At 49.4% G+C, this 17,249-nt stretch overlaps 1 protein-coding gene across 1 annotated transcript in view, besides 2 other annotated features; it reads left to right on the top strand.

Annotated features, from left to right (window-relative positions):
* Positions 398-941: an enhancer, noted in NCBI's record as "NANOG-H3K27ac-H3K4me1 hESC enhancer chr8:21683545-21684088 (GRCh37/hg19 assembly coordinates)". NCBI's record gives its function as "activates a minimal SCP1, AML or CMV promoter by ChIP-STARR-seq in naive H9 embryonic stem cells {active_cell/tissue: H9 hESC(naive)}" and the evidence as "EXISTENCE:reporter gene assay evidence [ECO:0000049][PMID:30033119]".
* Positions 942-1,486: an enhancer, noted in NCBI's record as "NANOG-H3K27ac-H3K4me1 hESC enhancer chr8:21683000-21683544 (GRCh37/hg19 assembly coordinates)". NCBI's record gives its function as "activates a minimal SCP1, AML or CMV promoter by ChIP-STARR-seq in primed H9 embryonic stem cells {active_cell/tissue: H9 hESC(primed)}" and the evidence as "EXISTENCE:reporter gene assay evidence [ECO:0000049][PMID:30033119]".
* Positions 14,629-17,249, top strand: part of GFRA2 (GDNF family receptor alpha 2) — a 121,948-nt gene continuing 119,327 nt past the window's right edge. The window contains exon 1 of the mRNA XM_047421687.1: positions 14,629-14,743. The gene's annotated coding sequence lies outside the window, so the exon portion shown is untranslated. The remainder of the gene's footprint in view (positions 14,744-17,249) is intronic.

The following is a 17,249-nucleotide window of genomic DNA, read 5'->3' as shown; positions in this document are numbered from 1 at the left end:
TACCCTTTCTTCCAGTTGATTGCATCAGCTCCTGAGGCTTCTGCATTCTTCACGTAGTTCTCGAGCCTTGGTTTTCAGCTCCATCAGCTCCTTTAAGCACTTCTCTGTATTGGTTATTCTAGTTATACATTCTTCTAAATGTTTTTCAAAGTTTTCAACTTCTTTGCCTTTGGTTTGAATGTCCTCCCGTAGCTCGGAGTAATTTGATCGTCTGAAGCCTTCTCGCAGCTCGTCAAAGTCATTTTCCGTCCAGCTTTGTTCCGTTGCTGGTGAGGAACTGCGTTCCTTTGGAGGAGGACAGGTGCTCTGCTTTTTCGAGTTTCCAGTTTTTCTGCTCTGTTTTTTTCCCATCTTTGTGGTTTTATCTACTTTTGGTCTTTGATGATGGTGATGTACAGATGGGTTTTTGGTGTGGATGTCCTTTCTGTTTGTTAGTTTTCCTTCTAACAGACAGGACCCTCAGCTGCAGGTCTGTTGGAGTACTCGGCAGTGTGAGGTGTCAGTCTGCCCCTGCTGGGGGGTGCCTCCCAGTTAGGCTGCTCAGGGGTCAGGGGTCAGGGACCCACTTGAGGAGGCAATCTACCCGTTCTCAGATCTCCAGCTGCGTGCTGGGAGAACCACTGCTCTCTTCAAAGCTGTCAGACAGGGACATTTAAGTCTGCAGAGGTTACTGCTATCTTTTTGTTTGTCTGTGCCCTGCCCCCAGAGGTGGAGCCTACAGGGGCAGGCAGGCCTCCTTGAGCTGTGATGGGCTCCACCCAGTTCGAGCTTCCCAGCTGCTTTGTTTACCTAAGCAAGCCTGGGCAATGGCGGGCGCCCCTCCCCCAGCCTCGCTGCCGCCTTGCAGTTTGATCTCAGACTGCTGTGCTAGCAATCAGTGAGACTCCGTGGCCGTAGGACCCTCTGAGCCAGGTGTGGGATATAATCTCCTGGTGCACCGTTTTTTTAGCCTGTCGGAAAAGCGCAGTATTCGGGTGGGAGTGACCCGATTTTCCAGGTGCCGTCTGTCACCCCTTTCTTTGACTAGGAGAGGGAACTCCCTGACCCCTTGCGCTTCCCCAATGAGGCAATGCCTCGCCCTGCTTCGGCTCGTGCACGGTGCGAGCACCCACTGACCTGCGCCCACTGTCTGGCACTCCCTAGTGAGATGAACCCGGTACCTCAAATGGAAATGCAGAAATCACCCGTCTTCTGCGTTGCTCACACTGGGAGCTGTAGACCGGAGCTGTTCCTATTCGGCCATCTTGGCTCCTCAGTCCGCATGCCTTTAATCCCAGCTACTTGGGAGGCTGAGGCAAGAGGATTGCTTGAGCCCAGGAGGTCGTGGCTGCAGTGAGCCATGATAATGCCACTGCACTCCAGCCTGGATGACAGAGTGAGATGCTGTCTCAAAATCGAAACAAAACAAAAATGACTTATGAACATTGAAATTCAAATTTCATATTATTTTCACGTGCCATAACATATTATTTTTTTGATTTCTCTCCCACCCCACCACTTAAAAATTCAAAAAAACGCCAGGCATGGTGGCTCATGCCTGTAATCCCAGCAATTTGGGAGGCCGAGGCGGGAGGATCATGAGGTCAGGAGATCAAGACCATCCTGGCTAACATGGTGAAACCTCGTCTCTACTAAAAATACAAAAAATTAGCCAGGCATGGTGGCGGGCACCTGTAGTCCCAGCTACTCAGGAGGCTGAGGCAGGAGAATGGTGTGAACCCGGGAAGCAGAGCTTGCAGTGAGCCGAGATTGCGCCACTGCACTCCAGCCTGGGCGACACAGCGGGACTCTGTCTCAAAAAAAAAAAAAATTCAAAAAAACATTCTTAGCTTGTGGACTGTGCAGAAACAGGTAGGGTGAGCTGCATCCGGCCTGCAGGCTGCAGCCTGCCATCCCCTGGCCTGGAGCTGTGAGATGTGGAGGTCAGGGTGAGCTGAGGCTCGGAGGGTAGACCAGGTCCACATGGGCAGAGCCTTGAGGGTTTCTTGAGCTTTAAATTTCATGGTGAATGAGAGTCACTGAACATTTTAGAGCTGGGAAGTGCTGTGACTAAAACAGGATTTCAAGGCAAAGCTAATTTTCGTTGATGTAGGAGATGGTAAGAGCTAGGATGTCTGCTTTCTTGCTGGAGCCAGAGAGGTGCTAGTGCAGCTGAAATTGTTATTATCTTTTTAAGATTTCTTTCTCCTTTCTCCCCCAGTGAAATATTTTGCAATTGTGTAGACAGAACCTTGTCTCCAGAAACTGCTACGCTTCGTTCTTGAAATATCTTCCCCTGTAGAGACTCTGGTTACTGGATTGTAGCTACCTTTTCTCCAAATGTCTGGAAATTAGACTTTCTAAAGTCTTTGACACATGTCTCTCTACTATTCTCTTTCTGGGCTGCTCTGAAGTCTAAGATGACATGTTCACTTTCTTCTAATATCCTGTCTCTTCTGTCTGTGGTTTCTGTCATTTCAGATTCCCAGTAATTTCTTCCTGGTGGATCAGAATTAATCCTGAAAAGGCTGTTGCCTTTGTTACTTCCTAAATCTTCTGGGGATGAAATTGTGATCAAGGTGAGTTGAGAGGCTTTGAAATGCTCTGTTTCTAAGACAGTGAGGTTCATGTGTGTTTGAATCAGTGCTAATGTGTCTTGATTCTCTGCTGGGTTTGTGATCTGTATCAGGAAAGCATCATTTTGTTTTGATGCCTCAAAATCGGAGGAAGAGAGTGGCGTCTGGGGTCCAAGGACACTTTCTGTAATCCGAAACCTGGTACATGGAACCATTTAGCACCGCTCTAGTCCTGAAAGGCAAGTGGCAGAGAAGCAAGAATGAGGGTAGTCCTACCGATTCATAGGGGATGAAAATCCAGCTCAGAGAGAGAGGCAGCCAGTACCCAGCAAGTCAGAGAAGCAACACAGTCTCATCTGCTGTGATGCTCCACAGTCACCAACACCCCTAGAGTTCCTGTGGGGCCTAGATGATTCCTGCTTGCAGGAGGAAGTCCAGACTCCACCTCCAGCTCCTGCTAGCTCATCAACAGGCATCTGTACCCCATTTCCTGATCCTCCATTCTAGGCAGAAAGGGGTTCTTACTCTTTCCTGTTCACCTCCTGTTTCTAGACCTTCACATGTACTGTTCTCTGTCCCTGCACCTTTCCTCTTCCTCTCATCTTTCTAAGTCATGGCGGTCTTGGAGGTCCAGCAGGAGTCCTGATCCTCAGCAAGGTCCTTTCTAACTACTCAGGTCTCTCCTTCCTCTGACCTGGAAGCTCCTGTTGCCTGGACTCTTCGTTGGCACACATTGTCTTATTATATCTAATATAGATATTAGGCATTTCATAAATTGCTTTGTCTCCACCAGAAGATCACAAGGGCAAGAGTTGTTTTATGGATCTTTGTGTGCCTGTAACATTTAGCATGGCACTAGAATGTGGAGGCTGCTCAGTGCATCATGTGGGCAGTCAGGAAGGAAGAAGGGAAGGAGAGAAGGAGGGAAGGAGAGAAGGGAAAGAAAGTGGGAAGGAGGAAAGGAGAGAAGAAAGAAGGAGGGAAGGACAGAAGGAGAGAAGGAGGGAAGGAGGGAAGGAGGGAAAGGAAGGAGAGAAGAAAGGAAGTGAAGGAGAGGAGAAGGGAAGGAGGGAAGGAGAGGAGGAGGGAAGGAGAGAAGGGAAGGAGGGAAGGAGGGAAGGAAGAAAGAAGAGAGAAGGAAGGAGGGAAGGAAGAAAAAGGGGAGGAAGAACAGAAGGCAGGAAGGAAGGAGAGAAGAAAGGCGGCTCAATGCTGAAACCCTTCATGCTCTTGGAACAGAGAAAAGTGCAGTCTCTAGGAAGGGAAGTGAGTGGGGAATTGGGGTTGGGTGACTTCCTGTATGGGTGGCCAGGAGGGAAGTTAGTGCTGGGTGGCATGGAACCTGAGAAGGACCAGTTCCACTCTGGCAGTGATGGCGTCTGAGTATGTCTGTGGAGGCGATGAGGGGAGTGCAGGAGACGGGGAACACACTTCCCCAGTCATGCCTCTGTTGTATTTCTACCAGTGAGTAAAGCTGGGCTGGGGGAGGTCAGTGTTGATGGCTTTGGTAACAGGAGGTAAATGAATCCATCCTAAAGAGCGGCTCCTTTTCCAGTACTGTAGCAGTTCAACTCTTGACTTCGCTGCCTTGGGGTTTTAATTAAATGTCAAATATAATTTAGGGCTGGAGTGTTGATGGGTGTGTGAACATGAAGTCCAATGTCTCATCTTTATGGGTCTCCCTGGTACTTGCCTAATTTGGGGGGTTAATTGGTCACTCTTTGAATGCCCAATGAGAAAACACTTGATTTCCCCTCTCCCGTCATCTTTGGTTTTGAAATAATAGTTGGGTGAGAGAAAAAAATGAAAAAAAGGTGGCTCACGCCTGTAATCCCAGCACTTTGGGAGGCTGAGGCGGGTGGATCACCTGAGGTCAGGGCTTTGAGACCAGCCTGACCAACATGGTGAATCCCCGTCTCTACTAAAAATACAAAAATTAGGCTGGGCACGGTGGCTCACGCCTGTAATGCCAGCACTTTGGGAGGCTGAGGGTGGGGCGGATCACGAGGTTAGGAGATCAAGACCATCCTGGCTAACACGGTGAAACCCTGTCTCTACTAAAAAATACAAAAAAATTAGCCGGGCCTGGTGGCAGGCGCCTGTAGTCCCAGCTACTTGGGAGGCTGAGGCAGGAGAATGACATGAACTTGGGAGGCAGAGCTTGCAGTGAGCCGAGATCGTGCCACTGCACTCCAGCCTGGGCAACAGAGCAAGGCTCTGTTTAAAAAACAAACAAACAAACAAACAAACAAAAAATTGGCTGGGTGTGGTTGTGGGTGCCTGTAATTCCAGCTACTCGAGAGGCTGAGGCAGGAGAGTCGCTTGAACTTGGGAGGCAGAGGTTGCACTGAGCCTAGATCGTCCCATTGCACTCCAGCCTGGGCGACAAGAGCGAAACTCCATCTCAATACAAAACAAAACAAAAAAACCCTTACTTGCATATGTGTTACATATAGAGAAAGAGCCAGATTGGGACCTGGGTCATTTGGGACCTACAGAAATATTACATTTGATCTGCAATTTTTCTTCCTAAATCAGGCTGGGGGTGGCGTAGCTATTGATCCATTTTCTCTGCTCAGTGCTTGGGGTCTGATCAAGCGTCCCTCTGCTCAGTGCTTGGGCCTCGATCAAGCGTCCCACCAGCTTTCCCCTGCCAATTTTGTGAAAGTGTGAAGTGGACGGAAGCCAGGACAGGCCTCCTTGTTGTTGGAGGGAGTCAGCCACAGGCTAAGTTCTCTCATTGTGCAGTGAGGACTCTGATTCCCGGGGAGGGGAGGGAAGGGACCCAGCTGATGTCTTAGCTGGGAACATGGCTGCAACCTTTCTAAATAGTGATTGATTGAAGCACTGTGGGTCTCATGGAAATAATTAGGGTAACATCATTTCAATTCAATTCAATAAATATTAAATGGTGACTGTATTAGAGGCTGTAGACACTACAAAATTGTACCGACATCATCTATGTCTGTAAGGGGGTCAGGGTCCTTCCTTTATGTGATGGATACAATTATTTCCTGAAACCCACATATGATGATCATCTGACGTCGTTGTTTGAAGCTTTGTGAACCTCTCCTTTGAACTTTGCATGACAAAGTGGGTCTTTTCTATTCTCCTCCTAATGCTCCTGGGTGGCCTCTTTCCCTCCACTGTGTAATGCACAGTCCATCCTCCAGCCAAACCAAACCTCTCCCAGATCCCAGGCATGGCTGATTGCACATGGCTTATTGCACCTGACTTCTCCCACTTGGGTTGGTTGGCATTACCTTGGGTTGCGAGTAGAGGATACTGGAGTAAGTGGGCTTAAACATATAGGATTTTATATGTCTCATATGATAAGAAAGCAGGCAGTGGCCAAACATTGGCTGTTCAGGAATGCTGCCATAATTCCAAATTCCATGTCCCTTTCCACTCTACTGTCTTTAGCTTGTTGACTTTTTGTCCTCGTGCTCAGTACCTGATGGTCACAAGATGGCTATAGAGACTTTAGGCATCACGTTTGCATTCAAGACAGGAGGAAAGGAAAGGACAGCAGCAAATCCATCTGCTCTTTAGCTCAGGAAAGCAAATGCTGCCACAGAATCCTCCCTGGCAGACCCCCTCTTATTACCTTAAAAAAAAGAAATCTGGGGTCTTGCTGTGTTGGCTAGGATGGTCTCAAATTCCTGGCCTCACGTAATCTTCCTGCCTTGGCCTCCCCAAGTGCTGAGATGAGATCACAGGTGTGAGCCATTGCACCCAACCCCCTCTTACTACCTTTATTGGCCAGGGCCAGTTGACACGCCCACTGCCAGGTGCAAGAGAGGCTGGAAAACCAAGACTCTGGCAAATGGGCATAAGGATTTTGCAACAGGTGCAGACCAGTCCTAGAGAGGTACCTGGGGCTGAGCACAGTGCACCCTAAGCAGAACTGGGTCAGCTGGGAAGAAAGGGACAATGGAGGTGATGGGCAGGCAAGCAGTCCCCATTGCATCTCTTCTTCCTCTTCTCAGAGGTAACTCCTACTTGGCCTTCAGGATTCAGCCCAGATTTGATCACTTCTAGGAAGTCTTTTTCCATCCTTGGGAGGATCAGCTGCTACCTCCTCTGTGCCTGGACGCTTTGTTGCTTCCTCAATTGTAGCATTTTCTCCTTTGCTAATGTTTATTTGCATATCTGCCTCTTTCTTCTCCTGCCTGGTAAGTTCACCTGTGTGGAAGCTGGGGCTGTCAGTTTCCTGCTCATTTCCCTCAGACCTTACCCTTACTGAGAAGTTTGCTCTGGGAACTTCACCTGCCTTTGAACGAGGGATTTTTCTGGAAGGTTACTCCACTCCCCTGAGTGAGTGGAGCAGGCTGGAAGGGCTGGGGCACTAACATCCCTCAGGAGCAGCTTGAATCAGCGCTGATGGGGAGCGGGTTGAGGGAGACTTCAGCTTCCTCAACCCTAAAGTGGGGATAATTTTGAGGTGCGCTTTACACTATTTTCCAGACCTTCTCCATGGGATTGGGCTTCAGACATCCACTGAGGTAACAGGCTTAATAAAATGCATCTCCTGGATCACTTCCCTTTGCCCTGCTGGTGTTCTCTGCACTTCCCAGGTTAACCAGGGACACTGTGATCCTCAGCTCAGGATTGCTTCTGGTGCCATCCAAACTGGGACAGTGTCTCAGTTACTTCTCTATTCCCAGATATTAGCATAGGGCTTGCTTTACAGAAGACCACCAGAAGTTCTGTGGAATGACTACCTGAGGAGCTGGGGAGGCAAGTTACATACATAGAGTTTTGAGGCAAAACACCTCGGGCAGTGTTACTGTAGAGACATTTGGCTGGGACCAGAGGCTCATACCTGTTATCCCAGCACTTTGGGAGGCCAGGGAGGCAGGAAGATCACTTAAGCCTAGGAGTTTAAGACCAGCCTGGGCAACAAAGTGAAACCCCATCTCTACAAAAAGATCAAAAAATTAGCCAGGTGTGGTGGTGCATATCTGTGGTCTCAGCCACTTGGGAAGCTGAGATGTGAGGATCACTTGAGTCCAGGAGGTTGAGGCTGAAGTGAGCTGTGATCATGCCACTGCACTCCAGCCTTTTTTTTTTTTGAGACAGAGTCTTGCTCTGTTGCCCAGGCTGTAGTGCAGTAGTGCAATCTTGGCTCACTGCAACCTCTGCCTCCTGGCTTCAAGCAATTCTCTTGCCTCAGCTTCCCGAGTAGCTGGGACTATAGGTGCCCGCCACTACGCTTGTCTAAGTTTGTATTTTTAGTAGAGACGGGTTTCACCAAGTTGGCCAGACTTGTCACAAACTCCTGACCTCAGGTGATCCACCCACCTTGGCCTCCCAAAGTGCTGGGATTACAGGTGTGAGCCACCTCGCCCAGCCCTTTGTTTGTTTGTTTGTTTGTTTGTTTGAGACAGAGCAACACCCTGTCTCGAAAGAAAAGAGAGAGAGGGAGAGAGAAAGAGAGAGAGAGAAAGAAAGAGAGAAAGATGAGGAGGAGGAGGGTGGGGAGGGAAGACACGAAGTAAGGGAGGGAGGAAGGAAGGAAGAGAAAGAAAGGGAGACGCTTACTGCTTCTCTATATTTCCCTTCCTCTTTGCAGTTAGGTGGGGGCTATGAGGCCAGGTCTGGCCAGTAGCTGGGCGTAAAAGGGACACAGGTCACCATGGACAGCCCCTGGCTCTCTCTTTCCCTGCTACAGTTATCCATGCATTGATCCAGCAGGTAGGGTGACATGGTGCAAGCAGCCTAGATTTCTGAGCTACTACCTAGGGGACAGCCACACTGGAGTTACCAGACCTAGAGTGGACTTGCATAAGTGAGAAATCAACCATGTTAAGCTGTGGAAACTTTTTTTTTTTTTTGAGATGGGGGTCTCCCTATGTTGCCCAGGCTGGGCTTGAACTCGAGATCCTCCCACCTCAGCCTTCTGAGTTGGGGGCACTACAGGAGTGTGCCTCCATGCACGGCTGTTTTTGATTTCTTTTTCTTTTCTTTTTCTTTTTTTTTGAGATGGAGTCTTGCTCTTTTGCCCAGGCTGGAGTGCAGTGGTGCAATCTTGGCTCACCACAAACTCCGCCTCCCGGGTTCATGCCATTCTCCTGCCTCAGCCTCCCAAGTGGCTGGGACTATAGGCGCCCGCCACCATGCCTGGCTAATTTTTTTTTAATATATATTTTTTATTATACTTTAAGTTCTAGGGTACATGTGCACAACGTGCGGGTTTGTTACATATGTATACATGTGCCATGTTGGTGTGCTGCACCCACTAACTCGTCATTTACATTAGGTATATCTCCTAATGCTATCCCTCCCCCCTCCCCCCACCCCAAATTTTTTGTATTTTTAGTAAAGACGGGGTTTCACCATGTTGGCCAGGATGGTCTCGATCCCCTGACCTCGTGATCCGCCCACCTTGGCCTCCCAAAGTGCTGGGATTACAGGTGTGAGCCACCGCGCCTGGCCTTGATTTCTTTTGTTATCACAGAGTAATCTAGCCTAACTGGTGTGCTACCCATTCATTGACACTTATGCCAGGTGCCAGGGGAGAGGTAAGTAGAGAAACCTAGTCCCTGTCCTCATATACTTTCCTCTCCCATGTCAGAGTGGCTCCAGCCTGGCTGACCCCCTCACTCTCCTCTCTTCTCCCTGACTTCACTCCTGGTGTCTTTGGAGAAGTTAGGCAGATTTTAGATGCTTGGTACTATTTAGGATGGAAGGCATTAATATCCAATGTTTTTCAAAGGTTTTGACTGCAAGAAGCAGTAAGGAACGTTTTTTATATCACATCAGTATGCGACACATACGTATGTTCATATACATGCTGTGATCTTTATCACAGACGGTATCTTCTGATATTTTGTATTCTATTTGGTTAAAGAATGCTCATTGCAATGCCCTGAATTGATGTCCATGACCTGCTAATGATACACCACCTGCAGTTCGAAAAAGCCTCTGGGAGCTAGAAAATGGAGGTAAACGCTGGCCTGGGGCTGATCTAGGAGGGCTTCCAGGAGGAAAAGACGCTTGACCAGCCTTGTGGAGGATGGGTAGGGGCTGGATCGGTAAAAGTAAGTCATTCTGGGACAGAAGATTCTAGGAGGAATGGTGGTCAAACTCTCTGTAGGGGAATAGATATCTGGGGAGTAATGGGAAACAGGGATGCAGGCAGAGATGATGTTCGAAGTAGGTAGCACCTTGAACAGCGTGGGCTCTGATCAATCAGAACATGCACCCGTGGTGAACTCCCTCCACCCCGCCCCACTCGGGCAATGGTGCTAGTGTAAGGCTGACCCTCATGCTGGAAAGGGGCTAGGCAAGGAGAGGGGTTAGAACCTGAACAGCAGTGGAGGAGGGCTGGGTATCAGAAGTCTTGTAAAATGGCCAAACAGCTCTGCAGTATGCTTTTTAAAAAAGAGCAGTCGATCCCCTTTGCGTGCCCTTCCAAACTCCTCAAGGTTGTGAACCTCTCATGCTTGGGTGAGGGTCCTGTCGGGCTGAAGCCTGGCAGAGACGCAGGACTCCACCAATGGCAGGGGCGGGTCACACGTGGGACCCACTGTGAGCGCCGGAGGACAGACATGCAGATCGCCTGCCAAGTTGCCTGTGCTCCATGTTGCTGGACTGGATGCTGAGAGAGGCATCAGGACCTGGCTGTAGGTCCAGCCCCACAAACGTCCTTTACCTTGAGTTTCAGTATCTGATAAAGGAAGTACAGCAACTTCTACTCCGTCGACCTCAGAATTACACGGTGAGCTTATGATGAGGAGCAGTGAGAAATTGCCTTGAAAGGGAAAAGTGTTTTACAAGCAGAAGCATTGCCTCGGGGTGGTATAGGGAGTACTTTCCTCGCAACTTTCCTGAGAAGGGAAATTTTGTTTAAATAACACAAATGTAATAATAGAACTGTCCAAGGTACATGATTTCAGCAATGAAATTTGTGGAACCTAACTCATGGTTCTCTTAGGTTTATAACAGTGTAAAAATAATACATTTTTCATCAAGATAGAAGTAAAAACAACAATAAAAATCTAACATTTATTGTGTGCTGATTATATGCCAGGAACTATACTAGGTACTTTGCATCTCATTTAATTCTCACAAACATCCTGTGCGGTGCATACTATTATTGTCCTCATTTTGCAAAGAAAAATGATGAGAAAGTTGGTATAACTCAACTGACAATGACATACTAGTTATTTCGTGTTGTGGCGAGAGCTAACGTTATGGTGTCTAACATCTTCTTGCAAATGTTTGAGTCCTGTGTCCACAAAGGCAAGGCATTATAGGACTGGTCAGCCCTCTAGCGCATTCCTGAGCTGTGTAGGACTGGGTCTTCCCCACAAAGCCACTTTCTTACTCCTTGCCCCCCCGACCCCACTCCTTCTCTGATTTGTCTCTGCTAAAGCCTCTTACCTTTCCAGGCCTTGGGTAGGAGTGAGGAGTATAGAATTTGGGCTCTGGGAGCACAAGAATCCCATCATTTTCTGTGAGGTCTGATCAGTCCTCCTGTTAATTCAGGAGTGGGGTTGGAGTATGTGGGTGGTGGCGAATGAGATAGACAGACATCTGGAAACTAAATTGGGAGTTTGGGTTTCTTCTCACTCCCACCAGCTTAGCCACAAAAACCCAAGGGAGACCTGTGGGTTTTAGTAGGTTCTCCCTGACCTTCTGTCAGTTTCAGGGTCCTTAGCTTTCATCTGCCTTTCTACATCTTCCCTGTTGAAGATCAACCTCCAGGCACTTGTACTCAGGGCTTTTTTCCTTCTTGGTACGATGTTTGTTAACAACTGGCCATATGTGGGCCTTACCGTTGGTGAGGTGAATGTAATCCGTGGAAGCCTGTAGCTGGGATGTTCCAGCAGGTACCTTTCAGGACTTCTTCCTTTGGGACACCCTCACACATCCCCAAACCCACTCAGACTCGCCTCTCTCTGCCCCTGATGGATATTTATGAGAAAGAATGGGATAACAGACTTGAATTCCTCGCCTGCCACTTTCTATCTATGCGACCTTGGGCAAATCACTCCATTACCTCAATCCTGAAATGGGGATAATGATACCCTGAAAAGTTGCTGTAAAAATTAGAAATAATTTATGTAAAGCGCTTAACACAACGGCTGGCTTCAACAAATGGCCCTGGGGTAGTGGAATAAACCCGGTGTCAGGAGAATCGAGTTCTCGTTCTGACTCTGAGACTATCTGGCTGAACTTTAGCACGATACTTCTCTCTTTGGAGCCTCTGTTTCTTCGTTTGTGGAATTAGCAGACAGGTCTGGATGGTAGTTGAGTCTCTTCCAGTTCTCATTATTGTCTCTGACCCTATCCCCAGCCCCAGCAGGGCCTGGATGAAATGTTTTCCTGCTGGGAACCAAGCCAGTAAGACTCAACTTGAAATCCCAAGCACTGGAGTTCGAAGGTGCCTGCTTTTCCCCCGGATCTGGTTGGCTGCCTTTTGTGATGGGGGAAGGTTGGGTCCTTGGCTGTTTCAGGCCTGGTGTGGAGAGGAGCCAGGGGCAGGAAGGAAAGAGGGAGGAGGACAGAGTGACCTTGAAGTTGGAGCCCCGTCATCAGCCCAGAAATGACAGGTAAAGGAGGAGTTCTGGCGTGTTGCTCTTCTCAACTTTAATTACTGTAATTCAGAGAAGACTTGCGTGTAAGCCTCAGAATTCCTCCATGGAAAACCATGTCTTTGCAGCATCCGCAGACAAGGACGTTAGCAAACTGGCAGTCACCGCTCCATCAACTCCCCACGCAGGGAGGGCTGTCGCTGACAGATGGAGGTGTGTTGGCAGCATGGGTCAGAGCCTGTCCGAGCCCCTCCCGCGTGCCTGGCTCCCCTTTCCCTGCGATCACACGGCTGCTTAGCCACAGTCACAATTACAGAGCTATGAAGATGTCTCTTACCTCTGGGTGGAGGGATGAGGTGGTGGAGAGAGAGGAGGGAGCAATTCTGAGAGAGGTGAAAAGAAGACAGGATGGGAAGAATCAGGGACGTTGGCTTTGGAAGTCTTTATGTTTGGCGGCACTTCCGTGTCAGTGGAGTGTAGTCTCTGGTGGGTGCCTTCTTGCGTGTGTGTGTGTGTGTGTGTGATTCTCATGGTGAGTGAGGGGGAAGGAACAGTTGGCTTCCACACTTAAGAAAGTGCATTAGGCCCAGAAAGCCCGGACCTTCCCTGATTTTGGAAATGATTATACAGTAATTTCAATGTTGACCCTTGGCAAAATTCCAAAACTGATGACTGAAACTGATGATTTGTGAGTTCTTGGAAAAGAAAGGTGATCGCTGGAAGCCAGTGTGAGTTCACTTAGGACAAAGAGGATCACTCCAACTTTTTCCTCCTTGTGATCGCTGTTTGATTAGAAAGTCAGTGTAACAGGGCACTTCTGCTCGGCAGGGGCGGCAGGGGGTGGTGGGTCAGAGGTGGCTCCTCTCCTCATATTATCCATGTGCACATGGGACTTAAGTGTCACAGAGTGGCCTTGTGGGCTGTGCCTCTCTTATGTCCCTATTTTTATTCTGAACCTATACAGGAACAGAGGGGTCCCCACAGAGACTAGGCAATGAGACCCCTATCCTCACATGGCTGGAGAGAACGGCTGCAATGAGGTGAGCAGGCAGTAAAGAACAGCATGTTCCCCAAGAGCACGCTCACCACAAGAGAAAGGGAAGCAGGACCGGGGCCAGGCCTCCAGGACCATCAGCAGGGGCAGCTGGCATGGATAGCTGGCTGCTGCCAGAACCCAGGGCCAGTGTAGAACTCTGGGTGGGCCTTGGGAAAAAGCTGCATCCATCTATCTATCTATCTATCTATCTATCTATCTATCTATCTATCTCTCTCTCTCTCTCTCTCTCTCTCTCTATCTTATGATCTATCTCTATTATCTGTCTGTCTACTATCTATCTATCCATTATCTATATCTATATATTATCCATCTGTCTGTCATCTATCATCTATCTATATTTAGAAAGGGTCTCACTCTGTCGCCCAGGCTAGAGTGCAGTGACACAATCTTGGCTCACTGCAGCCTCTACTTCCTGGGCTCTCAAGCCACCCTCTTACCTGAACCTCCTGAGGAGCTAGGACTACAGGTGCAGGCCACCATGCCTGGCTAATTAAAAAAAATTTTTTTTTTGTAGATATGGGGTCTTGCTCTTTGCCCAGGCTGGTCTTGAACTCTTGGTCTCAAGCAATCTTTCTGCCTTGGCCTCCCAAAATGCTGGGATTACCAGCGTCAGCCACCACACACAACCTAAAGCTGCATACTTCTGATTAAATATGTAATACTTAGGTCCCAGACAGATGAAATGTCCTTCTTCTCACCTCACAGAGTCATCGTGGCCACCCCCAAATCAAGCAGACATCCATGGCTAGACCAGTCAGCAGAGTGAGTCTTTCTGAGTTTCTGCTTTCTTTGCAGGTAGCAGCCATATAGCCTCAAAAGGCCTGAGTTTTAGACAAGTGTATACAAGCCTAGGTGTTCTTGGGAACTTCTGGGAATTAGACCCTTGGCTAAGTGGGTGGGGACTCAAGTGGGCTGGTCCGTCTGTGAGCAAGCAGTGCAAAATCTTTCCTGGCAGCCTCATGAATAAATGAAAAAAATAAAGTCTGGTTGGCAGCTCACTTGGGTGCATTTAGAGCTGCTGAATAATGGCTTGTAAAGGGGTTGCTGGGATCCCAAATCTCACTCTTTCCCCTCTAGAAGGGGCACCTAGTATTGTACCAGAACACTCTGTTCTAAGCCCTGCTCAATTCGACGATTTTATCTGTGACGTGGACGAAGATACAGACAGCAGGATGATTAAATTTCTAGATGACAGAAGAGATAATTGAAGTTCAGAGAGATAGCTGAGGATTTGAAAGCATCCTGAGAAGCTGAAAGGATGCCTGAAACAAACAAGATGAAATTTAACAGGACCAAATATTAAGCCCTATATTTAGGTAATAAAAGTGAATTATGTAGGTACAGTATGGGAGAAGCATGACTTGGGAGAATTTTGAATTAAAATCCTGCGGCCGGGATGCTCTGAGAGCAGGCTGCCTGATGGGGGCAGCAGAGAGCAGGGTGCGGGAGGGGCCCGCAGGAGGGGAGTGGAGCCAGCAGCTGAGACCCCGGCAAGGGCAACCATGGATCTGGAGTTGGAACGGGACAATGCGCCATCAGGCCGGCAGAAGCTGGCAGATGAGGGCCGAGTTGCGGCACACAGGTGCCAGGTATGTGAGTTGTCTGCATCCAAGTGAGACTGGGTTCCCTTTGTCCTGGGCCATTTCTGTCCCAGGACTGCCTGCTTTGTTCAGCTGGGATCTACCCGGTCTCCAAGGTGGTTTCGGATGGCCACACGCTTCAGTAGGGGCAGAGACTGGAAATGACAAAATGACAGAGAACACAGATGGGTGATAGCCAGGGGCTGGGGGGAGTGCGGGATGGCGGGATCTATATGGAGAGGGAAGAGTTGCCAATCTTGATTTTCAGTGTTGGTGAAGTAATCAAAGGGCACAGAACTATAGACACACATTGTAACCAAGTCAGTTTCCTGATGTAGCATAGTTATGTAAATTGTAACTCAGGGAAAATGGGCAAGGGTCTGTGAGATTGCTCTGTACTATTTTTACAACTTCCTGTGAGTCCAGAAGTGTTGTTTTAAGTTAAAAGAAAACAAGAGCCAAGCCTTTCTCTGCAATGAGGGGGCTGGAGGTTGGGGGTTGGGGGGCACCGGGGCAGATCTCCATTCACTTGCAGGGGAAGCTATCTGTTAGGACAGCCTGTGGGGAAGGCGGGGGGAGGACTTGTATGCAGGAGAAGGCCAGGGTCCCTGGACTTTGAAGAGCCTGTAACAAAGGGCCCAGGACATGGGGAATGTAAAGCTCAAGCCGAGACTGTTCCTCTGACCCGAGTGCCCTAGGTGGATGGAGGACCCGGGAGGCACCAGACCCTTGGGTTCCTGCCTATGAGTTTGATTTCTTGTTGCCAGGGAGAAATGCTTGGGGATTTAATTCTAGGAAGGACATTTAAAAGGCCTCTGATCCAGCCTGGGAAAACCCATCCCGAGTTCCCTAAGAGCTGGTAAAGTCACATGTTAGGATCTCCTGCTTGGGAACTTAGCAGGGGTTAGAGTCCCAGGGGAGACACTGCCTCTCAATCTCAGTCCAGCTCTGGCCGATGCAAAGACCCGCTGTGAGGATGCCTCACCGGGAGGCCGATTCCTGCTTCTGTTCCAGGGGAGGCCCGAGGCAGAAAGTACAGAGGGATGCTGCTGGCTGGGCCTCCACAGGGGCCCTAAAGGCCTCTGAGGAGGTGGCTGCCCATGCCGGCTGTGTCCTGGCCCTTGTTCTCTGCAGGCTGCTCCCCTTCTCTCCTGGGGCCCAGGAGGGGCCAGCCACAGGCCTGCTTTTGAGATCAGTGTGATTTAAAAATCGGTTTTCTGGAGAGGACAAGAGTGTCAAGCACTTCTGCGAGGCTGTCAAGAGGCAGCCCCTTTCCCTGATGGGAGGTCAGGTGGCTCCCCAGGTGCTTCTTCTAGAGTTGCTGGGAAATGTGACTTCCTTTATACCCATAGGCTGGTGGCCTGGTTGTGGGGGTTGCTTGGTTGCTGGGGGCTCCTCTGCAGCCCACCAAGTCTGGTTCCCAGGAGAGGAGCCTCACTTACACCTCAGTGCCCACCTCACTTCATTCCAGGGGCCCCATTCCCAGAAGCCTGCACCAACTCCTTTTTTTTCCATAGAGTCCCTGAGAATTCAGGCTCTGTACCTGACATCTCTACTGTTACCACTGGCTCCACTGAGTGCCTGCAGCCCCTTCCCATGATGGCATATCCTAGGCCCTTGCTGCCATCACAGCCACTGAGATGGGGTCTCTGAGTGACAGCTCCTTTGATGCCTCCATTACCCTCAGTGCCAGCCAGGACCTGTCATTTCTCTGCTTCCCTGTGGCCCAGTTCTTTTGTATTCTGAGCATGCCAAGGAGCTGGCACCAAGTGGTCATAGATTTTGATCTCTATTGGCAGCAAAAGCCCAGGAAGGACTCTGTCCAGGAGGGGAGGACTTGACGGGACTGTGGGGCTATGGCTCCAGGTCAGTGAGGGGGGTGGGCAGAGGGAGGAGGCTGACCTCCCCCAAGCTGGAGGGTTTGCTAAGGAGGGAGTGGGGAAGGATTGCATGTTGTGGGTCACTTCCACTCCCACAGTCCACTGTTGTGGATGGTATCTGGGGGCAGGTTTGGATTTGGGGCTCCTGTGTTCATCAGAGAAGAAAGCTGGAAGTGATGTGGTGGTGGCTCAGGTGTGGGAGGGGCTGGATCATCTGCCATGTGCTTTTGCATTTGGCTTTTTATGGAGCCTGTGAGGCTCACAAGTTCTACTTGAGCTGAGCTGGTGAGAGACCAAGGCTTGTTTATTCTGTAGCCTATTTCAGATCATGCGTTGGGAGATGATCTAGGAGGGTAAAATATGTGTTCCAGTTCTGCCCAGGACTGTAGGAGAAGCAACATCTGGTGGCTTAAGGTACTGGATCCCATCAGCTGCTGCAAATTTGTGTTGTTGGGTGAGGGTGTGGGTGATGTTGCATTTGCTGTTCCCCTATTTCCCTTCCTGGGCCGTGTTCTATAGCTAAAGAACTCTCCCATCCCTGGTGCCATTGGGCTTCCCAAGGAAGTTACTGCAAGGCTGTTTTTCAAAGACCAAACAGAGGCTGCAAACTCAAGAGCCATTGGCAGCCAGACAGC

Source organism: Homo sapiens, chromosome 8 (assembly GCF_000001405.40).
Source record: "Homo sapiens chromosome 8, GRCh38.p14 Primary Assembly".
NCBI lineage: Eukaryota > Metazoa > Chordata > Mammalia > Primates > Hominidae > Homo > Homo sapiens.
Note: the sequence above shows the minus strand (reverse complement) of the source record. Positions and strands in the feature narration are given on the sequence as shown.